This window comes from Homo sapiens, chromosome 1 (genome assembly GCF_000001405.40).
Source record: "Homo sapiens chromosome 1, GRCh38.p14 Primary Assembly".
NCBI classification, from domain to species: Eukaryota; Metazoa; Chordata; class Mammalia; order Primates; family Hominidae; genus Homo; species Homo sapiens.
The window spans coordinates 116,615,070-116,641,909 of record NC_000001.11 but is presented as its reverse complement, the minus strand read 5'-3'; the positions used below and the strand labels follow the sequence as shown (position 1 = coordinate 116,641,909).

Below are 26,840 nucleotides of genomic sequence, written 5' to 3'. Positions count from 1 at the left end.
ACCCCTGCACTCCAGCCTGGGCTACAGAATCAGACCCAGTCTCAAAAAAAAAAAAAAGAAAGAAATCTGATAACACTTTATTAGGTGCTACAGTGTTGTAAAGGATCATCAGACACACGAATTTGATAATTAAATAATGTTCCTAAGTCTTCTGATTGAAATAATAACACAGTGCAAAATCTCTTTTCCTGGCTTCCCTTCCTGGTCTTCCTTTTGTTCTCTCTTCCTGCCAGCTCTGCTCTCTGCCTGTTCTGAACGGCTGTCTGCTGCAGTGATCAGTGCTCTTCTTTGGATGTTCTTTGCTCCTGATGCTTTATGGCATTTCCTTCTTTTAATTTTCTTTCTTTCCTTCTTTCTTTTTCTTTCTTTCTTTTCTTTTCTTTCTTCTTCTTTTTTTTTTTTTTTTTTTTTTTTGAGACAGAGTCTTGCCCTGTTGCCCATGCTAGAGTGCAGTGGCACAATCTTGGCTCACTGCAACCTCTGCCTCCTGGGTCCAAGCGATTCTCATGCCTCAGCCTCCTCAGTAGCTGGGATTACAGGTACACGCCACCATACCCGGCTAATTTTTGTATTTTTAGTAGAGGTGGGTTTTCCCCATGTTGACCAGCTGGTCTTTAATTCCTGACCTCAAGTGATCCTCTGCCATGGCCTTCCAAAGTGCTGGAATTACAGGCGTGAGCCACCACGCCCCGTTCTTCTTTTAATTTTCTATTGTGAAAAGTTTCAAATATGTACCGAAGTGGAGAGAACAGGATAATTAACCCCCATACACTCACCACCTAGTTCCAACAATTATCAGCTCATGTCCAATCTTATCTGTACCATCACTCCCCTACCCTCCCTGTAGAATTTTCAAGAAAATCCGAGGAACACCTGGTGTATTCCCACGTGTTAATGAAAACTCTTGTTGATTAAGCTGCACTTACTAGTAATTTATTTTCCCATTTAAAATTAATTTTCAGAATACCAAGAAGGCACCATTTCATCCTTATATCTGATTGGTGAAAAGTGTAATAGTCAAATAGTACCAAGGTTGACAAAGGCATCAAAGAATAGAAACACTTAAACATTGATCTTGGCAATGTAAATTGGTGCACTGATGTTGCAGAGCAATTTGGGCAATGCCTAGTGTGGTTGAAGATACCCTTGGATGAAGATTTACAAGAATATTTATTGCAATAAAAAGTTGGAAACCACTTAAAAATTTATCAGTAGGAAAATGAATACATTGTGCTATAGATAATGATTATTCAGACAGTGGACCATGGTATAAAGCAGTTGAAATGAATGCCCTGGAGTGACATATGTCAACAAGGATTACCCTCAAAAATGTTTTGTCAATAAAAAAAGATGCAAAAGGGTGCATACAGTGTGATGCCATTTTAAACAGTTTTAAAGCATCCAAAAACTCTGTATATTGTTTATGGCTACATACATAGGTAGTAAAAGCATAAAAATGTGCAAGAGTGATAAATACCAAATTTGGGATGTTGTCATTTCTGGGATGGGTGGAATAGTGGGGCTTGAAAGGGGGTGAAATAGGGATTGAAGCACAGCCTGTAATGCTTTCTTTCTTGAAAGGAAAATAAAAAAACTAAACCAGGTGTGGCAAAATGTTAAGATTTGACAAGTCCTGGATGTGCACAGGCATTTGTTATACATGTGTCTGTGTAAATGGTTCCTTATTCAGAAATGAAAAATCTGTAATTGTCCATCTTCTGATAAACTTGCAATGGCTGCTGTTGTCATGTGATGTCATTTTCTTGACTGGAGCTAAGAAACTTGGCATTTTTTGTTATTTAATCCTGAGAAAATGCATATTTTCTTCTTCCTTCCTTTCTTTCTTTCTTTCTTTTTTTTTTTTTTTTTTTTGAGATAGAGTCACGCTGTTGCTCAGGCTGGAGTGCCGCGGTGCCATCTCGGCTCATTGCAACCTCTGTCTCCTGGGTAAGGGTTCAAGTGATTCTCCTGCCTCAGCCTCCTGAGTAGCTGGGGTTACAGGTGCCTGCCACCAAGCCCAGCTAATTTTTGTGTTTTCAGTAGAGACGGGGTTTCACCGTGTTGGCCAGATTGGTCTTGAACTCCTGACCTCAAGTGATTCGCCCAACTTGGCCTCCCAAAGAAAGTGCATATTTTCTTTGTCATCTTATGATAGTAGATCATGGAGCTCCTTTAACTTAATGGATTCCTAGAGGCCAGTGACTCCTGATATTTTCCAGACACTTATAGCTAGAAAAAGCCAAGTAATGAAGCTCTAATGCTTTGACTTGCTTTGACTTAACAAGCTTAGGGAAGAAGCAATGGCACTGTATTTTCTTTCTTTTTGAGAGAAGGTAAGAAGAGCATGAAAGGAGAAGGCAGAGGAGGAGGATCCCTTCTTGCCTCTGTGTAGACTGATCCCAGATGCAGCTTCCTTCTGTCATCTGCAGGTGGTTGGGACCTGTCTCCACACCTGTGGTTTGCTTAGGAGTAGGGAGGACAGGCCTGAAAGGAAAAAGGACTTGAGCTGGGCTTTGCAAAGGCACAGTAGAATTTAGGTAGAAAATGAGGAGTGGTTGAATAGATGTTTCACGGAATTAAGGGTCCATCTTTAGCAAGACACAAACCCTTTAAGACCTGGTCCTGCCTGTCCATCTTCACTTCTTAGTACCCATCTCTGTCCACCCTCCCCTTCCAGCCAGACCCAGTATTGGCCCTATTGGCGAGCTCACCTTTGTCCTCTGGCCTTGGCTTTGCACGTGCCCTGACTTCTCACATGGAAGGGAATGAGTGCCTGTGCCTCACCTGTCCCTGGGCTGCCTGCCAGGCTCCTGCATACTCCCAGACTCTGATTGTGGCAGTCTCCCAAGGAATGCCCTCCTGATTTTCCAGGCTGACCACCCTTCCATAGCACCTGGTACAGTTAGTTGCTTTGTTCTTAATTCTATGCTTGTCTTCCTACCTGTGACTTTTTTCCTGGGCAGTGGCGCAGCTGGAATGGTTCAGCATGCATGCAGACTTTGCACGTGACCCTGGGCAGATACTTAACCTTGGGGTGCCATACTCATCTGCAGGTGGGGATGGAATGGTACCCACCTCCTGTTGTAGTTGTGAGGGTTAAACATTGTAACACATATAGAGCAATTAGGGGAGGGCCTGGCAAGACTCTGCTGTAGGAGTTAGCTGGTCCTATTGCTGTTTTCCCCATTTCTTCCCTTTCTCTTTTTCTCTCTTCCTCTTCTCTTTTCTTTTCCATCTTGTTTTTAGCTCACCAACACAAGAGATGGAAAACGATGTAAGCATAGCCTTTAGGTGTGAATGACTCCTGGTCGACTTGGGGGAAATGGCAAAATCCAGTAAGACGTACCGGGGATGTTTGGAGGGAGTGGTGGGTGTCAGACTGAGTAGGTGGAATGGGGCCAGACTTTTGAAGCCTTGGATACCAAGACACGGAGTTTGGACTTGATGTGATTGGCAAAGTGGAATCTCTGGCCATTTGTTTATCTGGTGAGAAACTGCTGTGGGAGACCTGTATGGCAGTAGTTTACTGAGTGGACTGGCAAGAGTAGGGAAAAGAGTAGCAGTAGGAGACTAATTTTAAAATATGCTGAAGACCTTTAAAATTGAAGAACAGCGTGGCTGGATTAGGCAGTTGACAAGTGGCAGTGACACAGGAGAGACTAGGGAGAGAGGAGCAGGAGTCCCTGGCTTGATGAAAGAACAAAAGAGAGGGAGCTACAATCTTTGGCTTTGAGATTTGTAGCTAGTTAGACTGCAGGAAACCACAAAAAGAGTGAGGGTAGCTGGAATAACACATTTTTGGTTTATTTTTAAGATGTGTGGGATGGCATGGGATTTGGCATCAAAGTTGGTGTGTTTATTGAGTATAGTTACTGTGGATGCCAGCAAGAAGGAGAGCGATCCGATATACTTATAGGCAGGACAAGAGCAGTCCCCATCCCTAAGCAGGAAAACAGTGTGGCCAAGTATTGTTTTCAGACTTCTTTGGCTTCATTAGCATGCTGGAGGGTTCTGTCCTTGACCTTTCTGAATTGACTGTTGTGTTTGGTGAAAGTAGAGGTCACACTCATCTGAATCATCGAAAGTCATCTGTATGACTTTAAGGCAAGAAGGAACAGCAAGTGTGTAGGTTGGCAAGTAAGATAAAAAACAGTCTGGATGAGATAGACTGATGGTCTGGCCCTGTTGATGGAACAAGGGTGAATGCAAGGTTTTGAATCCAGCTGCAAAGTGTAGGAGGGGGAGGCCGTGGGAAGGATGGAGGGTTTTAGTTGGCAGGTGTCTGCCATGTGATGTGGCCTCTAAACAGCCATCTTGTCTGCACTGAAAGAAGGTCGTCTGCTTGCTTCATCCTTGTCCACAAGCTGGTCAGGCCACTTGTGGAGAAAAGCATGCAGTTCTAGGCAGTACACTCTGAAGGACGGAAACAAACTGGAACCTGTTTGTAAGACACAGGGAAAGGAAATGAACCCATAGAACATGAGCTCCTTCAGGGTAAAGATTGTTCATCTGCATCTCTCTGAAGCTTTAGTGCCTACCTACATCAGTGTCCAGGCCTAGTATGTGCTCACCTGTTGTCCATTGAATAAATAAGAGATTGGGGTTGTCCTGTATCCAGGACCCCTGAGCCCAATTTCAGTTCAAAGTAAAGAAGAACTTTCGAATAGTGCTTTCCCCTGGCTGCCATTAGTGGGAATGTGCATCTATCTGCACGCAGGATGTCCACAGGCACAGGGGAGTCAAGCTTAGGTGAGTGGTTAGACCAGTGGGCCTCAAGATTCCATCACTCTCTGCATGCGCTGGACTCGTTGATGGGAGAGAGTAAGGGAGCGTGAGTAAAAGTCTGTGATCAGTGAGGGTGGCCAGGAACAAGTCGATTTGTAAATGAATCTGCTGGCAAACTTCCTTACAAATGTACTCCCCCAACAATTTTTTATAATTTCTAGATAAAATGCCCTGATTTGAAAGAATGTCAAGTAGAATTTGAGTTAATAGTGTGAATTGCAGTCCCATCTGCTCAGCTCCATGGCCCGGTAGATCTGTGGAGCCATTTGTCACAATTTGTTTTAAAGCCAGGAAGAAAAACACTCCTGGACACTGCCCAACACTTCTCGCGGAGATGCTGTCTTTGGAGTGTGGAAGGGGTGGGGTGGGTGGTGAGAAAGCTGGGTGGGACAGAAGGAGGGCCCTGTGCTTCGAGGCAAAAGACAGGGTTCCAGCCCCTCTTCACTGGCTTGCTCGTGACCTTGGGTGAGTCATGCAGCTTTTCAGGCCTCGCTCCTGGTGTAGAAGGGCTAGACAGATCACAGCTTCTCCAAGTCTGGGCCAGATGACTGTTCATTCTTTCCTCCACTCAACTAATATTTTTGAGGTCTGTTCAGGTGCCACACACCATTCTAGGAGCTGGGGATCCAGCAGTGCCAATACTTTTTCTAGTTTTAAGACTGGATGCTAAGAACATCATTGTCTACTTCATGCTATTGGAGAGCAGCAGTTCTTCCAGGCATAAGAACCTGGAAGAACCAGTTTGCATGAAAACTGTCCTAAGCTCAGGAAAGGTTGTCACCAGCCTTCCTCGTGATGTGCTTGAGGCCAAAAAGGGGAGATAGGGCCAACTCAGAGTGCATGAAAACCAAGCCGTGAAGAGTGGATAGCTGAACAGATGCCTGTGAAAGCAACTTTGATCAGGGAAGGAATGGTAGACTCGGTATGGGGAATTCTTCTTGGGAAGGTGATTGTGGAGCGGCTCTCAGGAGACAAGAGGCTTTGTTTGATGACTGGCAAAGGCCTTTTGAGAGGGTGTGGTCGGGGTGATGGCTGGCACCTGTGAGGAAGACAGTTGTTCTGGCGAGTGGAGGTGTACTGGGAAAGGGTGTTCAGGAGAATAACCGGTTGATTCATCCCACAAACACTTATTGGGCACCTACTGTCTGAAATGCAAGGGGACACACAAAGATGAGTTAAGGATTTGACTTAAGGCACTCACACAACACAAGGCAGGAATGGTTGCCTGCATAAGGCACTGAGGAAGGTTCCCTAGCAGAGATGACGGATGAGCTGGGCCTTAAAGTATGAGTGGGCATTGGCTGGGTGTGGGGTGGAGAAAAGGCCTTTCCAGATGAAGGGCTTTGAAATGCTTTATGAGTTTGCCTTGGCAGAGACCAGAGACCCCATAACCAGATGTTGTTCATTTGATTCTTGGAATCATGGGAATACTTCAGTGTCCCAACAAGAAGATGCCATTACAATGTTTGAAGATGACATTCTTTGTGCTTAAGCTGCCTTAAGCCTTTTCTTAAACAGCCTGGATGTGCAGCAAAAAAGAGTCCTGTCTGCCCCGTGTTGTAGGGCATTGGAAAGGATGATGTACTGGGAGGTGGCTGATGCAGCCTCCAGTGCAGAGGCCTGGAAAAGTGGACAATCTGTGGCTACAGGAGGGAGAGGTTAGGGTGGGTGAAGAAGTATTATGAATGAGCAGAATCTAGGGACACTCCATGGGTGAGGGTCATATTAAGAAATGAGAGAAGGGCACGGACTACTCTATGCCAGGAAGAGAACTGGGGAAGGCCAACTATAACAGGGATTGTTTTGGAGGAATAGACAGTGTGGACCGTCACAGTGAATTTGTTTAAACAGATATCTGGAATTGGTGACTCAAGGGCTTGGTCAAGCTCAGTGGCAAAAAATCAGTGAGAATAGGAACATGAAGTAAGTTACAGATGGGGCCTAGACATTTGGGATTCTACTGTTTAGAAGCAGGTGTTGCAGTTATCCAGTGCTGCATAACAGATCATCCCGAATCATAGTGGCTTAAAGCAAAAATTAGTTTATTCTCTTTCATGAAGTCTGTATGTCAACATCAGGAAGGGCTGGGCTCGTGGTTCTGGCTCAGTCTTTCATGGGGTTACAGTCAGATGGTGGTTGGGGCTGGGACACTAGACAACTGGAGCAGTGGAGACTGGCATCTCATTCTCTTCACCTTGTCTCTCCTGTGGGGTAGCTTGGGCTTCCTTATAGTGTGGCGGGCTCGGAGCAGGCAGATGGCTTACACCGCAACTCAGGCTCCAAATGTGTGTCCCAGGAGAGCTGGCAGAAGCTGCGTTCCCTGTTTGTGACCTAGCCTTAAGGTCACAGAGTGTCACTTCTACCAGAGCTGTAGCCCACCTAGATTCAGGGAGAGGAAACACAGGTTCTGCCCTCTCGATGGAAGGAGTGTCAAAGCCATGGGTAAGCAGAGCAGGCACGGGAGATGTCATTGCAAGCCAACTTTGGGAAATACATTTTGTCTCAGGTGGGGAAATTGCATGAACAAATGAACTCCCTCATAGCAGGGAATGGAGAGTGCCACCTGAGATTTGATGGGCAAACTGAGAACTGGGAGAGAAGCAAGAGAGGAGGCAGCGAGTGACTGAGGAGATGTGGGCAGGGAGAGAGGAGGAAAGCCAGGTGATGTTCTGGGCATGAAGCCAGGCTTGCTGTGGGTGCTCCAAGGCAGATGTGAACGAGTGAGGATGGGAAAGAAGTGGGGTTGGCCAGGACCATGGGAACACGTGGCTCTTGTTTTTTAGTTGTTCTCTCCGCTAGCTGGAGCCTACCCTTTTTTCCTCTTAGATTTTTAAACAGCGTTTTATTAGGAGAAATTTAAAATTATCCTTGTCTTTTTTATACTGTCTCCTCATTTTGCCTTGTCGTGGCATGTGTTTTTACTCATTTGTTTTTCGAATAGGTAATACATTCACATGTGTTCAATTAAAAAGGATACCGAAGGATGTACACAGTGCAAATTAAGTCTGCTTCTGACCTAATTCTTCCAGAGACCATCACCGTTACTGGTTTCATGTGTGTCTTTCAGAAAATATTCTCTACCATTGTTACCTCTTTGATGCTGACTGTACACATTAGCAGGGCTGATTTGCTCCTGCTTTGGTTTTAGCCTCGATGGCATAGAGGCCCTTCCATAGCATGAACAGCCCTCTCCAGACCCATCTACTCACCTTTGTGAGAGGGCAGAGCCTACAGACTCAGGGCTGACCTCAGCCCTGGATTCTGTTCAAGCTTTTTCTGAACCTGTAATTTTAAGTGCTGCTTCTAATTCAAGTCAGACTTTTTCTATGTTGGCTTTTCATTTTTGCTTTCTATGGTTTCTCAGTGTTCTTTCACCCCTAAGATCATGATTTTGAATTTTTATTTTTTATTTTTGGTTCTAAGGCACAGAGAGTTTAGTAGACAAGAAGGAAGGGAGAAGACAGAAGGAAAAAGCTGCCCCATACAGAGACAGAGGGAAGGGGGCTCCAAAGCTGAAAGAAGAGGTCCCCATGATTGTGAAATTTTTTGTTCTCTCACTTACATGCACCTTTCCATGGCATAGGGGAATATATAGTTAGGGAAATGCAGGGGCTTTCAATACTGGTATCACAGAATTACACAGTCTTGGAGCTGAAAGGGGATTTTAAGGATTGTCTAGGTGTTTTTCTTCTTTAAAAAAAATTTTAAAATTTTGCTTATAGGGAATCAGCCTTAGAGAAAAAGTTAAAAGATTATGTAAGGTCTCTTCTTCCACCCAACTCAAAAAACACCCCCAAACCAAAACCAACTCTGCTGGACTTCCTGGAATGGTTGATGACCTACTGAGATCTGATTTCCCAGAGCAGGAGGTGGGAAGTGCTTGATCCGGCAGTGGGTGGGAATGGTTGAACCCAGGACATCCCAAATGGCTGGAATGTAGGACAGTGGTACCATGCCCAGGCTGGGACCAACTTCTTAGCTGGCCTTCAAAGGGACAGATGGCAGCTGAACTCTGCATAAAGCCCAAATACAGCTCACAGAACCCAAAGACTGTGTCTCTGCAGCGTGCAGCATTGGTCTATATAGCATTTGAAGCTATTTTTTTCTCTGTAAGTGTCCACAAAATTCGTCACTTTACAATGAGCCTGGCAGGATAGCTGCAGTGAAGAAACTCTCCACACAGGTCCCAGTGTCTCTTCTGGAATTTTGCCTGAGCAAGTAAATCAAATGCTTGGTAAACACACTGATGTCACTGTCCCTAGCCATGGAGATTTAGAACTTTTTCAAAACCCCTTTCTCTCTGTGGCCCCACTTGTTTCTCGCTGCAGCCTTTTATTTTTCTGGAGTTGGCTGTGGTTCTCCCTCATGCTCCAGGCCAGGCTCTGTGGGCTGGACAGGTATGGCTAGTTAATCCTGCCAGACGAGGTCAGCTCTGAGTTAATGAGTACAGCCTCTCTTTCTCCCCTCCAGAGCATGGATTTCCTTTAATGCTTTTCTTAAGTTTGAGGAGACAAAAATATATGCCTGAAAAAGGATTACTGGGAAGAATTAAACACGAGTCCTTCAGCACGCACGTGTCCATTTGTTGCCTTCCAGGTTTGCTTTCTTCTCTGCCTGCGAGGCTTCTCATTCAGTATGCTGCGTTGTGTGGTTAGCTGTTCCATAGTTATGTTGAAAGTGGCTTCTCAGATGCTGCTTGAGTCCTGGGGAATGTCACCATCCAATGACAGTCTAGCTGAGAGATGCTAGCACGCCCACCCCTTCTTCCCCCCACAGATCCATATCTCATCTGGCTGTGCACAAAAAGCAACTGATAACTCCTGTTATCAGCACTAGGTGGGGTGGGAGGTTTTGGGGGATGGTCAGCATTTTCTGGTTTCGATTACCATGCAAGTATTTTAAATCTGCAGCTCTGGCAAACTGATAACCTCCACAACTATATCATCAGAGCCCTCATTAATGGAATCATTTTCTAATTTGAACATCTTGTTTGTCCTTCCTCTCATTTCTTAGTGAACTTGTCAGTCTTCCCCAGCCCTTCACTGGTTGAGTTGTGCAAGTTTGGAGTCTTTTGCTTTTCAGGAATAGGCTCTGCTCTCAGTGACCGTTTCTGTGTCTTGAACTTTGTGGCGAGTGGAGCTTATTTGGGAGTTATAGGGTCTGCAGTTGATGGAGACGTTGAGGAGGATTGAATGCCAGGTATTTTAAAGTGGCCTTGAATTAACTGTTTTCTGGCATCTTTCTCAAATCGATCCATGGGTTATCATGGCCTTTGGAGGCACCTCCCATCTGAATGCTTGCCATCCATCAGCTGAGTGACTGTTGACCTTTGCTCCCTATGTCCTCCTGTGGGCTGGCTGGGGAAGATCACTTCTCAGAGGCACATGGCAGGATGGTCTAGAGAGTTGGTTGGGCCCAGGGAATAGATTCTCTGTCCAGTGATGACCTCATCAACTTCTCCCCAGTAGTTGCCTAAGACCTGGGAATTGTGGACAGCTACCTGGATATCCCCACATTCTCTTGCCTGTTAACTACATCTCTTTACTATCTCTCTGGCCAGACCACCCCCTTTCACTCCCAGTGGAGGTCCAGTGATCTGATTTGGTTGGGGTCCTCAGCAGCTCTCACCTGGATCACCGCAGGACCATGAAGGAATCTTCTGCCAGGGCCCCTTTCCCATCACTTCTGCCAGAACAATCTTCCCAAGGCAGGATTTGGAATATCTGTTTCCTTATTTACACCCCCAGTGGCTCTCCACTGCTCATAGTTCAAAGCCCATGCTCTTTTTTTTTTTTTTTTTTTTTTTTGAGACAGCGTCTGGCTCTGTCGCCCAGGCTGGAGTGCAGTGGTGCGATCTCGGCTCACTGCAAGCTCCGCCTCCTGGGTTCACGCCATTCTCCTGCCTCAGCCTCTCAAGTAGCTGGGACTACAGGAGCCCGCCACCGCTCCCGGCTAATTTTTTGTATTTTTAGTAGAGACGGGGTTTCACTGTGTTAGCCAGGATGGTCTCGATCTCCTGACCTCATGATCCACCCGCCTCGGCCTCCCAAAGTGCTGGGATTACAGGCGTGAGCCACCATGCCCGGCCAAGCCCATGCTCTTTAGTAGAGCACCCTATCCCTGCCCTGGCCTGGCCCCTGTCTGCTGCTTCCTCTTGGTCTTCCTCTACTTTCATGGACCCTACCACCCATCAATGTCAAACTGCTGCAGTACTCTGGACCTCCAGCTCCTCATGCAGCTCTGCATAGATTCGAGCTGCTCTCTGCTGAGGTCCTATGTCAAGTCCTCCCCACCCCACCATGATCTAGCAGAAATACCTACTCATCCTAATTAAAACTGGGCACAAGCCACCTCTCTTGTGTGAAGCCTTTCCTGACGCCCATGGAACACCTAGCTCAGTGCATCTTTCACAGTGCCACGCTTTGCCGCCTCTGTTTACTTATCTATCTCTGCCTCCTAGACTGTAAAGATTGGGTCTTGTAGCTCATCAGCCCAGTACAGTGTCCAGCAAAGAGGAGACACCATATATATTTTTGGAATGAATGAAACAGAAGCTTAGAGTCAGAGATTGTGGGTTTGGATGCCAACTCTGTATCCCACTGACAATTTTTCCGAGCCTCAGTTTGCTCATCTCATCAGTAAAATGGGGAATGTACACTTCCCTCACAGGGTGGCTGTGAGATTAAAGTAAGAAGACACCTTTGGAAATGCTAGTTTGCTGCAGATTTGGCTAGTACCTGGAATTCAGCAGGCACTCAGTCCTTATTTCCTGTTTCAGGTGATAACCAGAGAGAAAGCCTCTACTTCAGGAGACTACATCTCATTGTGCCTTTTGTCTTCTTCCAAAGAGGCTTCTCTGATCTTGCCCCTAATTAGGAGGGCGTGCCTGGAGAGCCCCTTAACAGCATCTGGGCAGGGCTTGCCACCAGGGGGCAGAGGCTTTTGAACCATCACTGCTTTGTCAGAGCCTGTAGCGAATGTTCAAAGCCCAAATCTTGTTCCAAATCCCATTCCCTCCAGGACCCTTGCCTTCAGTGGGGATTTAGAAATGGCCCCATGCTGTATGTCACGTCCTTGGCTCTGTGTAAGTCAGCGACAGCCTGCATGTTAATGCCTAAACTTCTGCTTTCTCAAGATTCCTCAAACCATCTGTCATTCAGGTGCCTTCCTTGTACCCTGAAAGGATGATTTTCATCAGGGCTCACAGTCTCTGTTAATGCCTCATGAAGGCATCCAATTGGAAGAAGCAAGAGAAGAGATGCGTTAGAAGGCTTGGAAGGGATCAACATGGAATGGAAAGTTTAATAACTCAGAAAATAGGAGTTTTTAGGAAAGCGGCTAAACAGCTTTAAGAAAAAGTAAATGAGGTCAAACCTGTTCAACCAGGCCCTTGTGCATTAAGTAGCTCAAATAGAGGGCAACTGATTAACCATTTGACACTTCACACACCTGCAAAGTTGACCTGACCAGGCTGGCTCCAGCCAATTTTGCAATCATTTTCTCGCCACCCATTCCCTATTTCACATCAGCCCCCCTCCCCCACTTCAGGCTCCTTGGCCACCTCCCTCCTCTCCACTTACACAACCTGAATTCATCTGTACCAAAATATTCACCCCTCTCTGACTTCTTTTTTTGGGTTTTATGAGGCAGGTGGTCTGAGAAATTGCTTATGACTGTTGGTCCTAATTATGAAGCTAATTCATTCAGACTATGGAATACTTAGAAAACACAAAGTGCAAAGAAAAAACAATCCCTTATTACCCCACCTCCCTTTAGCGTTTTTTAAATATACTAGCCCAGTCCTTTTTCCACACATATATAGAGGTGTGTGGGTGTTTATCTTTACGAAAATACTTTCAAATCCTTTTATAGCCTTTCTCCCCTTTTACTTAGTAGTGTGCTTTCAGCATTTTTAGGTGTTCATAAATATTGTTCTCTGCAGTTTTTAAATGGTTGCATACTATTTCACCACATGGGGAGAGTGCTGTAATTGACTGATGGATTCTTTGTTTGGGGACCTTTTCCTGCTTTTGTGACCCACCCCCCTATGGTATAGTGCTCATTCTTGTACCTTCTTTTGGAAGTCCCTGAACTCTCCAGCTTGGTCTTGTGTATCTGCGAGGGCCCTGTTTCCCAGTTGTCTTCTCTGGGCTGCTGCAGAATTAGTCTCTACTTCCACAGTTCTGTTATTTTTGCATCTGTGATGCTGGCTTATCTGTGCCTCCCTAGAAAGAATGAGCAGGGCCCACTGCCTACTGCCTGGTCATAGTTATGCTCAAGAACATGGTCCTTGAATTGAATAGGGAAAATGTCCAATCCAGGGCTACCCACTGATGAGAGCCAAGCACAGGAGCCTGAGCCACCAGCAATGAAAGTCAAAGCTGAGGGGGAAGGAGCGGCCATCCATTATTATCATACGTAACACGTGCTTGGGAAAACCCCCAGAAGCAGTGTCAGTGCTCTCAGTATTTATTTTTAGTTACGTGTAGATGTTCATGCTTTATGAGTATGCTAGACATATTTCAGGGTGCCTGCCACCCACACTCTTGGTGGGGAATGGTTTGGGGGCCCTTCACAGTCCCTGTTGCCCAAAGTGGTTATATGCTGGGTAATGGAATACAGATGCCCATCTGGTCAAGGTCACCTAGATCTGAGTGTGTTGGGGAAATGCACATTGTAAATGACCCCAAAATCTACAACTCTGGGGGCCTGGTTAAAAAAAAAAGTCTCCCAGCCAGTCAGATTGCTTTCTGGGGAATTTGCGCTGAGAACCACAGTGGGGAGTGCAGCAGCAACAGGCATGTGTAAGCTGAGTATTTGGAGCACAGAAACTATGGCTGAGTAAAGGAACTTTGTCCCTGAAGAGTGGCGGGAGCTGTCCTGAGGAGGGTGGTCTAAGTCACAAAGGTTTTCCAGTTCTGGTCCTTGCAAGGCATAGCTGTGCTGTGATCCTCACTCATGGGTTGCCCTGAAATCCCACAGTGTCTTTTTGTATCCTTTCTCCATCCTCTCCACTTCTGCCCACACACTGGAGCTAGTTATTGGGGCTCTGCTTATTGCGATTATCCAGCTATCATCCAAGAGGATGGCACATTGGCTAGTGCTTCCACTGCTGAGAGGGTCACAGCAGTGCCTTGGGCAGAGTCAGGAGAAGAGGAATATTCCTGTTTTGTACCGGAGTGCTTTCCAGGGTGAAGAGCTGAAGGGGCTGCTCTGAGTAGGACACGGCTCTGAGGTTCCTTTGGAGACCCCAATTCACTGCCTGGGCATTCCTAGCTAGGCAGCCCCATTTTCTAGTTTTGTGTCTCCATGGCCTAGTGTTGGGAGACAGAAGGTGGGGACACTGTGTTGAAGGACACAGCAGACTGACTTATCATGGGCTTCCTGAAGCCAGGGCCACCCCTTTGTATCCAGGTCTAGTTCTGATGCCACTTGAAAAAGCCCCCCAAGTGCTTTTGCTGTTGGCGCCCCGCATCCCTCTGCTGCCTGGTAGCTGACATCCTGACGCTGCCTGCAGATGCGCTCCCGGCCTGTTGTCAGCAGGGCCCTGGGCTTAGCAGTCCTCTTCCTGAAGCTGTGAGAGCATTGAGAGGCGCACTGCTGGGGCCCTGCCAGCTCCAGGAGGAGGTGCAGGCAGTGCTGAGTGTGGCAGGAGCTGTGGAAGTTATTCCAGTCCTCTTTAGGAGAGGGTGGTGGTGGCGGCCAGTAGAGGGACTGTTTGAAATCCAGCAGACACCTTTCTCCCAGACTGAAAATCTGGGGACCAGACTGAGAGTCTGGAGAAACTGGGGTATCCTAGGTCCAGAAATGAAGCGTAAAATAATAGCAACAGTAATTGCTGTGAAATGTATGCTGTGAGAAGGAATGAGGCACTTACTGGTTCGAGTGATGGTCCTTTTACTGGAACTCACTCTAAGCTGCGGTTCACTGAGCCTCTGGACTTCTCAGAGGGAGTGTTGCCACGAAGCTGCCCTCTTTAAAAAAAAATGCCCAACACTCAGCCTATTTCTGTTATCTCCAAAACCGGACGGAAAGAAAGAGCGGTCAGAGTAATTACAGGGAGAACATTTACAGGCAAGTAATCTGATCTTGCCTTTTAATTTTTTTCCCCTCTAGAAAATAGAAGGCAAATACTAGCACTTATATTTACTTATAAGCATTTCTATTAGATGCTGCCTTGATTCTAGGTTGGGCTGAAAAAAGTGTCTATTCCTGTGGCTGTGGGCATGGCTGGCCTAGGGCAGGCTGCAGGGCTCCCTCGCTGCCTTTCTTTTTGGATGCTGCTTCTGTGCTGTCTTTCGCATGAGAGTGAGGGGGAATGCAGGTGAGAGGGTGGCAGGACTCAGGTGCTATCCCTACCTTTTCTGGGAGGAGTGGAGGATGGAGTCAAAGAAATGAGCGATAGGAGAGGAGGAGCAGAATAGAAGGGCGGGAAGTGGGGTCTTTTGGGCTTTCCTGGTTCCAAGCATGGCATAGGGTGAAATAGCCATGGACATCCTGAAAGTGATAAGGTCTTCCCTGGGGTTTCAATGGTCATGGATAAGAGAAGCTGGGGATTGTACAAATTCAGGTGGGGAAAGGATAAGCAGTAGAAGGCATGGGCTTGTTGGTTATAGAAAAAAAAAGTATAAATAACCTAAATATTCATTAATATTGGAATAAATAAAATGTGGTGTAATCCTATGATGGAATACTGTGCAGCTATATAAAGAGGAAAAATGGGAACTATATTTGATCTCAAAAACTTTGAGGAGGAAAACTGAGGATCATAACTCAATGAAAGGGACGATAATGTTTATGTAAAAAATGCTGAAAAATAATGTGTATTTTTCAGTGGTTACATATATCTGGATATAAAAGCATTTTTTTTTTAAGTCTGGAGAGCTCTATCCTTAAATCACAGTAGTGCTAATCTCTGGAAAAATGAGGGGAAGCAGGGTTAGTGGTAGTAGTCAGAAGAGATAAAAGACTTAAAATACTGTAATTTTTAAAATATTTAAGTAAATATTCTAATCTAAGTAAATAGTAGCATGTTTAAAATATTTTTGAGTTATGGTTTAGCAGTCCTCTAAGGAAGCAGCTTCAACATTTAGTAATGAGGGAATTAGGCAGCAGCTTAGAAGCAGCCACCCATCCCTGGGGCTCAGTAGCTAAATGTCTCAACCTAGGACAATCAGGCAGTCTAGTGACACAGCAGTGCAGACATCAGAGAGATCAGTCAGGTTGGGATGAAATGAATTACTGGGTTTGCAGTCCTTTTGGATGGTTCTGTAGCTGGCAGTTACATCTTCTTAGAAGTAGTATCAATAATTTAACATTCATTAATCATCATCTTTAGACCAGCTCTATTTTAGGTACCACTGGGGATTCAGATAAGAGAAAGAATGAAAGAGTGAATGAATGATATTTTTGTCCTTGGATTTAAAACCAGGCCAGGCCCTCATCTTGTCGCATTTGACTGTGAATTTGGTCTGTCTGCTTCCAGTCCTGCCCTCTGCTCTGTCCTCCACCTGCCACCAGAGTGATAATTCGAAAGCGTAAATCTGATCCGTCTTCTTCCTTACCTCTGTTAGGCTCTTTCTCAACTTCCCCAGTCCCAGAGGAGGTGTTTGACTTTATTAATGTGCCTTTCGGTGCCCTTTTCCGCCTGGCACTGATGTGCCCTCCAGTCATGTGACAAAACGACCTCCGCAAACTTCTTGCTAATCCTGGAATGCACTGCAGTGTTTTCACGTGGTATATATTTCCCTTGTGCTTTGGGACCCAATTCAGATGTCACTGCTTTTTTGAAGGCTTTTTGAATGCTTTCACTTTCTGAAAGGGCTTAACCTTGCACTTTGCACCTCACTGCTATTGTATACCATTAAAATGATTAGTTATGTGTATTTATTTTAGGATTGTCAGCTTAGGACAACTTGTCAACTATGTCTTATCAATCTCTCCCTCACAGTTTCTGTCCTAGTATCCATCATAATAGGTACTGAAAAAAATGTTGATTGAAGCCATAGCATATGTTCTTGTTACCTTTCTATGTAACAAATGTTTCCAAACCTCAGTGGCTTAAAACAACAATTTTGTTATGCTCACAGAATCTGTGGGTCGAGAATTTAGAGGCACAGCAGGCATGGCTGGAAGTTCCAAGGCTGGGGGCAGCTCACAGTGGAGGCTTGTTCACTCACATGGTGGCAGGTGGAGCTGGGTGCTGATTGGCTCATTCACTCACATTGTGGCAGGTGGACCTGGCTGGAGCCAGCTCTGGACTGGAGCACCTGCCCAGGGCCTCTCCATGTGCCTTGGGCCCCCTCACAGCATGGCCTCAGGACCGTTGGCTGTCTTATGTGGTGGTTCAGGACACCCTGAGTGAAATGGAAGCTACATCACTTTCCATGACCTAGGATTGGAAGCCACACAGTGACTTCCTGCCCAGATACACAGAGAAGGGAATTATTCTAAACTCCACCTCTTGATGGGAGTGTGTGGCATGGTCACATTGCAAAAGAGCATGTGGGAAGGAGATATTGTTACTGCTGTGTCTGGAGAATACAACCTGCCACGGTGTGTGGGAGAAATTAGTTCCACAGCTAGAGTTAATATCACTACTATTGCTACTACTGCAACTAGTGGCTAAACATTTATTGAGCACTTATTGTGTGCCAGGAATTAAGTTTTAAATGTAGCAACTCATTTAATCCTTCCATAACGCTGTGACAATTATACCACTTTACAGATGAGGAAACTGAGGTGCAGAGAGGTTAAGTAACCAGCCCAAGATCTCACAGCTACTGCCCATGCTGTGGGAAGTCAGTGAAGGCGAAGACTTAGGAATTCGATCCAAACTTTAGGTTTGCTGCTGGATTGTGACAGTGCATTTATCACATGGGAATTGATGGCTGTTTCAAGAGCCATTTTTTTTTTTTTTTTGAGACAAGATCTCGCTCTGTCACCCAGGCTGGAGTGCAGTGGCACAATCATTGTTCACGGCAGCCTCGGCCTCCCAGGCTCGAGGGATCCTCAGGGACCTTTTTTTTGTTTTTTTTTTAGATAGAGTCTTTCTCTGTTGCCCAGCCCACAGTGCAATGACATGATCTCGGCTCACTGCAACCTCCACCTGCTGGGTTCAAGCGATTCTCCTGCCTCAGCCTCCGGAGTAGCTGGGATTACAGGCGCACATCACCATGCTGGGCTAAATTTTTGTATTTTCAGTAGGGACAGGGTTTCACCATATTGGCCAGGCTGGTCTCGAACTCCTGACCTCAGGTGATCCACCTGCCTCGCCCTCCCAAAGTGCTGGGATTATAGGCATGAGCCACTGTGCCTGGCCTCAAGGGACATTTTTGATGAAAGTATGGATCCAGATAAGGTCCTTGCACCTGTGGGCTTGGGAAGCTGAACCTCGAGCTGTCCTGGTTTTATGGTTCCACTTGTGCCATCTGGACCTTGGTTAGACTGTCCCTTGATGGCAGTGACATTGACCGAATGGGCTGGAGTGCAGTGGTGCGATCTCGGCTTGCTGCAACCTCCATCTCCCAGGTTCAAGCAATTCTCCTGCCTCAGCCTCCTGATAGCGTGTGCCATCACACCCGGCTAATTTTTGTATTTTTAGTAGAGCTGGGGATTCACCATGTTGGCCAGGCTGGTCTCGAACCCCTAACCTCAAGTGATCCATCTGCCTTGGCCTCCCAAAGTGCTGGGATTACAGGCATGAGCCACCGTGCCTGGCCAGTGCAAGTGTGTTTAGCCAGCTTCATTTACTCCCTAACTCCTTGCCTCAGATTCTGCATCCGTAAAGTGAGGTCACTAGGAGTATTGACCTCAGAGGGCTGTTGCAAGGTTAAAGCTGGTTATACAAGCAGAGTACTTGGAACAGTGTCAGTTACCTGGCTGGGGCTCAGTAAGTGCTGGCTGTCCTTATTGGAAAGGTTCAAGTGTTGTGTTTTCCTGTCACCTGATCTGGAAAGAGGTCAAACAAAGGATCTTTTAGCCCATGCCACTTCCTGTCCTTCCTTGGCCGAAGGCTGACAGGTAAGAATCCCCAGAAGTTGTCACCGATGTGCCTGTGGAAGTGGCCTTCCCGATTGCTTTCTCTCTGGAGCCTTTAAGTTCCATGAAGCACTTAGTTGGCCTGGACTCCACCAATTCAGCATGCTGTGGCAGCTCAGTTCAGTTCCCATTTTTAACTTGGGACTGCATAGATTCCCCATCATTTCCTTTAGGACCAGGTGGGCAAGAAGATCCAGTCAGTGCTTTATTACTTCTCACTGATATTCACAGAGCACATTTAGTGTGAGCCATGGAATAAGAAAACTCTTAGTCACATTCTGTGTCATGAGAAGTTTACTTAACCTTGAAAACCATTTCCTTGTCTGGTAAATGTGGCTGTAATGAAATCGACCCCATTCACTGTTGTGAGGATTAAATGAGATGATGTATGCAGAGAAACTAGGACAGTGCCTGGGAAAGTGCTACTCATTATGATCATTTGTCTTCAGTTTAGAACAATATATACTTGCTTATTTAAAAAAAGGAGATAATAGAGAAAAGGTATTGAGAAAAATAGGAGAGGAGAAAATCACTCAAATTCTCACCATTCAGCGATTCAGCCCAGTATCATCAATGTTTTGTTTGGTTGTTTTTGTAGGTGTAGGATTTTTTTTTTTTAATGTAATTTTACTGCATATGCAGTTTTGCATTTTTTACCCAAACTTAATGTTCTTTTTAATGTTCTTGTACTTACAAAGATTTATCCTGTTTATATATTGATATCTCACCTTGGCAGAAATGAGATAAAATTTTAAAATATTCATTTGGTGGCTTTCACAGTATTATTTGATCTCTAGGGTCTCCTGTGAGTTTGCTACATGGTATGTTGTATTACTTTCATCTTATAGATGAAGAAAGATACTAGTGTGGCTGAGTCGCATGCAGAATTTGGAGGAGCATGGTGCTGAATGAGCTTTGATGATTGTAGAGGCCATAACTGGAAAAGTAGATGTAAAATGGTGAGGTCGATCCCTCTGACACTTTCACATGCTCAGTCACGCATCTTGAACATATAAGTTGGATCCTGTGCCTAGAGAGGTAGGTTTCTGAGCCAAGGCATATTCCAAAAATTGCATGAGAAGCTGGCTTTCCCAGACACAGTGACCCCTCCCTGCTCACTAACTCCTGAGTCATACCTCCTGCCCCTAGCCAGGTTTATCTAGGACTTGAGCACAAAGAAAAAGTGGGAGCATCTTTGAACAAGAAATATCTTGAAAAACTAGTTAAGTGGTATCATGTATTTGTGGGATGGGTGATTTCAAAACCCAATCTAAAAGGACAGGACCTTGCTCATTGACAATTTATTGTCTGATGCAATGTTTCTTAATCTTTTTGGGTCTTGAATTCCTTTGAGAATCTTTTGAAGTTTATGGACTCTTTTCCCAGAAGAACACACTCATGTGTATGTAACACAATTTTGCATTCAATCTTAGGGACTGCAGGTGTCTACATTAGTTATATATTGATGTAAAAAAAAAAGCCCCAAACTTAAGGCTTAAAGGAACAATAGATGTTTATTATCTCACAGTTTCTGTGGTTCAGAAAGTCAGTAACATCTTAACTGGATACTTCTGACTCGGAGTCTCCCAGGAGGTTGCAGTCAAGATGTTGTTGGGGGGAAAGGGGCAGGTTCAGTGGCTCATGCCTGTGATCCCTACACTCTGGGAAGCAAAGCCAGGAGGATTACTTGAGCCCAGGAGTTTGAGACCAGCCTGGGCAACACAGTGAGACCCTATGTATTAGTCAGTTCTCACATTGCTATAAATACATGAGACTGGAGAATTTATAAAGAAAAGAGGTTTAATTGTCTCACAGTTCCACAGGCTGTTCAGGGAGCATAATGCTGGCATCTGCTCGGCTTCTGGGGCAACCACAGGAAACTTTCAATCATGGTGGAAGGTGAAGGGGAAGCAGGCGCGCCTTACGTGGCCAAAGCAGGAGCAAGAGAGAGAGGGGGGAGGTGCCACACACTTTTAAACAATTAGATACTGTGAGAACTCTAACAAGCACAGCACCAAAAGGGTGAAGCTAAATCATTCATGAAAGATCCATTCCTGTGATCCGGTCACCTCCCACCAGGCCCCACCTCTAACATTGGGGATTATAATTGAACATGAGATTTAGGTGGGTACAGAGACCCCAACCATATCATCCCGTCTCTATAAGAAATAAAAAATTTAGCCAGGCATGGTGGTGTGTGCTGGTGGTCCCAGATACTCAGGAGGCTGATGTGGGAGGATCACTTGAGCCTCGGAGGTCAAGGCTGCAGTGAGCTATGATTGCACCACTGCACTCTAGCCTGGGTGACAGAGTGAGACCCTGTCTCAACAACAACAAAAAGATGCCTGGGGTTGACATTATCTGAAGGCTTGACTGAGTTGACTGTGGCTGGAGAATCTACTTCCAGTCACATGCTAGCAAGTTAGTGCTAGCTGTTGGCAGGAGGCCTCATGTGGTCTTCCCCATATGGCTGCTTTGATGTCCTCATAACATCATGCTTGTCTTTTTATGACCTAGCCCTGGAAGTCACATTCCACCATTTGTGCATTTCCTATTGGTCACGTAGGTCAGTCCTATTTAGTGCATAGGGCAAGGTCTGAGAGGGGAGTAGTGCTGACTGCCCATGCCCTCTCCTGGTGCACGCCGCTTCCAGCACCCAGAAGCTCTCCTAACTCCATTATTTAGGGTTTTCATATGGGATTTCATTACATGGGTATGACTGATCAAATCACTGACCAATGCTGATTGGATCAATCTGCAGTCCCCTTCTTGTCCTTGGAGGTCTAAGGCTGGGGCGGAAAACTCCACAACTCTAAGCGTGGCCAGCTCCTTCCTTGAAACTGCCTCCGTGCTCACCTTCAGTCACCTCGTTAGCATAAACTCTGGGATGGCCAAAAGGGGCTTCTTATAAATAACAAAAGGTACTCCCATTGCTTAGGAAGTTCCAAGGGGTTTAGGAGCTCAGTGCCAGGAACTGGGGACAAAGACCAAATATGTATATATATATAAATACTACAGTAGTGAATTTTATATAGCAAACATGCATTATTTTTATTTTTGGCTAAAATTTTTTTCTAGTTATAAAACTGGTACATACTCATTGCAGAGGACTGGGGGAAGGAGTAAAATATTAAGAAAAAAATAAAAATCACTTGCCATCCTGTCACCTAGTATTTTCTTTCTAGTTCTTTTCATGCAGTTATATATAACATTTTGATCTTTCTTTCTATGTTACAGAAGTCATATTTGCTTATTGCAGAGTAATCCAAAGAGTACAGAATGTCTAAAGTTAAAAAAGTTATTTAAAAAAAAAAGATCCTTGCCTGGGAGGAACTTTCTATTGTAGGTTGGGAGGGGAGAGAGAGGGGCTGTGGGTCAGAGGATGCCCTGGTCAGGTTTGGGAGCCTGTGTCTCTTTGGAGGCAGCAGAGGTCTGCACAGCAGGGTATTACTATTATAGGGGAATGGTGGGGTGGGATGTGTGGAAGGGGAATTAAACTGCCAAGAAGAAAACAATTATTTTTATGTTGAGAAGCATTATTTTCAGGGGTCAGAAGCCCTTTGTGGGGCAGAGGGAAATTAAGGAGGTATTTAATAAACAGGTGCAGCTGAATGTGTGTGGTTAAAGTGCAATCCAGTAGTTATTTGTCTGGATTGTTTATAACCTGCTTCCAGCCTAGACAAGTTGATTTGACCCTGCTGTCCTGGCTCATTCAGGCCACTTAACACTGTTTACCATTGGGTGGGGAGGACGTGCATGATCCGCTGGCCGAGTGCCTTTGTAAGGTCTGTAAATAGGATGCATTCTGGTTAAACTCGTTATTGCCTCACAAATGCTAGTATCTGATGGGTCTCAGATGTTTTCTTTTGCACTGGGGAAGACTGGAGGAGAATGAAGCTTTCTTGAACCAGTGATTGGGTCTCTACCAAAGAGAGAAACTTAAAGCTAGTGAGAGCCTTAAGATATTTCATTTGAGCACTTGGCTGGCACCATGTAGGTAGAGACACTTTAAAGTAACAGTGCTTTGCTACACCTGATTTGAATCATCTGTGGAGCTTCAAAAAAAAATCCTAATTAATCCTAAGACCAGTTATGTCAGGTGGGGTCCAGGCACTGTTAGTTCTTTAAAGCTCCCCAGGTGATTCCAGTGTAGGTCCAGGATTGAGAAGCAGTCCTTAAAGATGCTGGTGTACCCTGACTTGCCTCTAGCCTTCTTTGCAGGAGATGTATGGGGGTTGGTTGTAGTTGCGCTGTCATAGAACACCGCAATTCAAAGGATACCTAATGTTATGAATGTAGTTAAATTGTTTGCAAAATGTTCTGTGTTTCAGGAATACTGCAATCATTTGATTAAAATGTCACCATATTTGTGTGTGTATACAGTCATGGGTCACTTAATGATGGGGACATGTTTTAAGAAGTGCATCATTCGGCAATTTCATTCTTGTGTGGACATCATAGGGTGTACTTCAACAAACCTAGATGGGATATATATTTTCATTTATATATTTTATTATGGAAAATGAAATGTCCCAGCACTGTTACTGAATATCAGTCATTTCCCCTACTTGATCTGCCATGCCAACATTAAGTGCCATATATTAGATCTCTATATATGCTCCATTATAATCTTACAGGATCACTGTTGCACATGTGTTTCCTCATTGATTGAAATGTTATTCAGTGCATGACTGTACATATAGTAAAAATGTTATGCATCATATTTTAACATACTGATATTACTAATGAGTTGTCCTCATGGTTACTTTAAATATCATAATTAATGCCATCAACCAGAATATATCAAATAAATTCAGATACCACTTGTTCTGTTTATTTCCTTCCCCTGCCAATTTTGTATTTTTCCTGATTCTGCTGAAGCCAAGATGGGGTTCTGTGTAAGATTTTGTTTGTGAGGAAAGGTTCTGCATGAATTAAAGTTTTGCAAGCCATGGGCATTTCATTGTATGGGCCGTTTTTGAGGTCTGTCATCTTGCAGATTAGATTAGCTTACACTGAGGCACAGTCCCCTGCTGGGCTGGGCAGAGAGCTGCACTCCACTAGTATTGAGCTGTCCCGGCTGTTCACCAGCTGGATCCACTTCAGATAGGCATAGCCGGGGCAGCCGCCATTCCCATTTGTGGGGGAAAAGGGAAGCTATCACAAGAATGGGCTGCAGCTGTGGGAGGAGGTGGGCAGCCCAGCGATGGTGTCATTGTCAAGGGGCCATTGAAATGTCCTTAAGCAGTCATTGGCCAAATCCTGTCCTCTATGGATCCAGAGCCACAGAATGTTCCAGCAGAAATATGTCTTAGCCAGCAGCTCTTTATTGAGGACTGATTGTGGGCTAGGCTCTGTGGTAGGGTCTTTACAGATGTTATTAAATCTTCTCAATAACCCTATGAGACAGGCATTATTATCCCCATCTTACTGATGAGAAAACCAAGGCTTAGAGAGGTTAAGCAGCTTATCCAAGATCACAGTTAATAAGTGACAAAGCCAGCATCGGAACCCATGCTAGTCCTCTCCAAGGCCTTCTTAGAAATCATGTGATAGATGAGAAGATCAAGGTCTGGAGAAGAAAAGCAAGTTGTCTGAGATGACACAACCAGCTCTAATTGGTGGCAAAGCTGCGCCTGTAACTCACCTGCGCTTTTCACAACCTGCAGTACGTGACCACTGCCGAAATGAAGAGGCAGGGTTGTGCCCCCTCCCGCCTTCTGAGTGGCTCAGGCACAATCAGTGTTGAGTTGGCGTGAAATGAGAAATTAAACTCACCATGCCACTTTAAGAAGAACATGGAGAAGGCAGGCAGAAGTGACCTTGGAGAACAGTATCTGAGCCAGAAGGCAGGAGGTCAGCGGGGGAGTCTTGAGTGGGAAACTCAAGGGTAGCCTGACTGTCCTTGTCACAGGTTTAGCTGGGCACTGTTAGTTCCCCCCTTTGTCAGTTTGTGGGAATCTGGGCATCAGGGATCTGTTTCAGCCCTTCACATTTGTGTTTGGGTGTGCTCAGCTTAAAACGATAGCAGCCTGCAGGAGCTTAGCTCTGCCTCCATTTATGGAGGGAAGAGAAACTAAGGAATGCCCCTTGGGGTGGTGTTGGGGAGCAGCTACATGGGAAATTGAAGGGTGCAGCACCAGTAAAAAGGTGCTCCCAGGACTCCCTCCCACCAGCGCTCAGACCAAGGAAGAAGCATTTAATTTCAGCCAGATTTCTAGATGGTTGCTTTTATTTGTTTTCATCTGAATTTGTGCCAAGGATTCAACTTTTCCTGCTCATTTTATTAAAAACTTCATACACAGCATTAATAAATAGATATAAAACTGCCATATAAATGACAAACAGAGGGGCTAAATGAAATTCCCAAGGGTCAGCTGTTGAATAAGTAACAAAAGCACATCTTGGCATGATCAAATTCCCATATATGCAAATTAGGGACAGTGCTTTACCACAGAGTGTTTTAATTAATATTTATAAATCACAAAGCGCCTTTGAAAGGGCCAGTAAGCTGTTTATATTATTATCATGTCACACAAATAACAAACCCTTTGGAGATTGCTGGCTACTTTGCATTTTGGTCTGAGAAGTAAGTAAGCATGTTGTGTGTGTTTCTCTCCCTCGTAGGTGTGGTGTCAGCACAGCGGCAGGTCACCGTTCAGGAAGGACCCTTGTACCGCACGGAGGGCTCCCACATCACTATCTGGTGCAATGTGAGTGGCTACCAGGGACCTTCTGAGCAGAATTTCCAGTGGTCCATTTACCTGCCTTCGTCGCCAGAGCGAGAGGTGCAGATCGTCAGCACCATGGACTCTTCCTTCCCCTATGCCATCTACACCCAGCGCGTCCGCGGAGGGAAGATCTTCATAGAAAGAGTCCAGGGGAACTCAACCCTATTGCACATCACAGATCTTCAGGCCCGGGATGCCGGGGAGTATGAATGCCACACACCCAGCACTGATAAGCAATACTTTGGGAGTTACAGTGCAAAGATGAACCTAGTGGGTAAGGAGAAGCTGTCTTCACGTTGCCAGCGTCTGGCCTGACTCAGTTCTTTAGTAGCGTAATTTTGCTTTATGCCATGCATTTGACTTTAAAAAAAATCCCAAAACTCCCAACATATTTTAGGGGTCAACAGATAGCACAAGGAAACTAAATTTCTGTGTTCACTTCTAAATAATAGGTGGTTGAGGGTGAAACTTTAAAAAGGTCTAATGCAGATGTTAAGAATTTCATAAGTTAACTAACCCTGTAACTGGTGAAAAGGGATATGAAAATATAAGGCAAGGATGTTTGTGGTTGATGATCTGAATGACAAGGAAGATGAGACGTATGACATCAGTTGGAAGAGAGGAGAAACCTCTCAGAAGGATAGGCCTTTGGGCAGCTCTGAGACCCACGGGGCACTGCTGAAGCAGGAAGCACATGTGGCTGTGGGTCCTTGCTCAGACCTTGTACATTGAAGGTCCTTTGGCTCCATGCGTAAGGAACTATGAACTGGCTGTCTCCCTTGTTGCTCCTTAATGCTGAAGGAAACATGAGGAAGAGGGATGCAGGAGCTTCCATTGTGGGCAGCACTGGTCATAGTGTTTGCCAGTGTCAAAGGGTTAACCATTATCAAGGCTGTTCTGTTTTTCTGCCTATCTTAATGTCCAGTTTTTATTATCACAACTAAGCAGTGGGTGTTGCTAGTTCTTTTATTAATACACATACTATCATTTGTTTATTTTTACTTTCTCTAACTAGTCTGTGTCCCAGCAGGAGACCTTTTTTTTTTCGTGTGTGTGTGTGTGTGTGTATGTGTGTATGTGTGATGGAGCTTCGCTCTTGTTGCCCAGGCTGGAGTGCAATGGTGCGATCTTGGCTCACTGCAACCTCCACCTCCCGGGTTCAAGCAATTCTTCTGCCTCAGCCTCCCGAGTAGCTGGGATTACAGGCATGCACTACCATGCCTGGCTAATTTTGTATTTTTAGTAGAGACGGGGTTTCTCCATGTTGGTCAGGCTGGTCTCGAA

At 45.3% G+C, this 26,840-nt stretch overlaps 1 protein-coding gene across 8 annotated transcripts in view, besides 1 other annotated feature; it reads left to right on the top strand.

Moving 5' to 3' along the window:
- Positions 1-26,840, top strand: part of IGSF3 (immunoglobulin superfamily member 3) — a 93,358-nt gene that overhangs the window by 25,846 nt on the left and 40,672 nt on the right. For 6 of the 8 annotated variants that reach the window (XM_047419052.1, NM_001542.4, XM_047419070.1 and 3 more), the window contains exon 3: positions 25,453-25,830. In XM_047419052.1, the coding sequence (XP_047275008.1) occupies positions 25,453-25,830 (378 nt within the window). Of the gene's footprint in view, positions 1-24,598; positions 24,682-25,452; positions 25,831-26,840 lie in introns of those variants that run through there. The other 2 variants (XM_006710593.4, XM_005270794.5) reach the window with 2 other exon arrangements.
- Positions 22,300-22,807: an enhancer, noted in NCBI's record as "OCT4-NANOG hESC enhancer chr1:117161725-117162232 (GRCh37/hg19 assembly coordinates)". NCBI's record gives its function as "activates a minimal SCP1, AML or CMV promoter by ChIP-STARR-seq in primed H9 embryonic stem cells {active_cell/tissue: H9 hESC(primed)}" and the evidence as "EXISTENCE:reporter gene assay evidence [ECO:0000049][PMID:30033119]".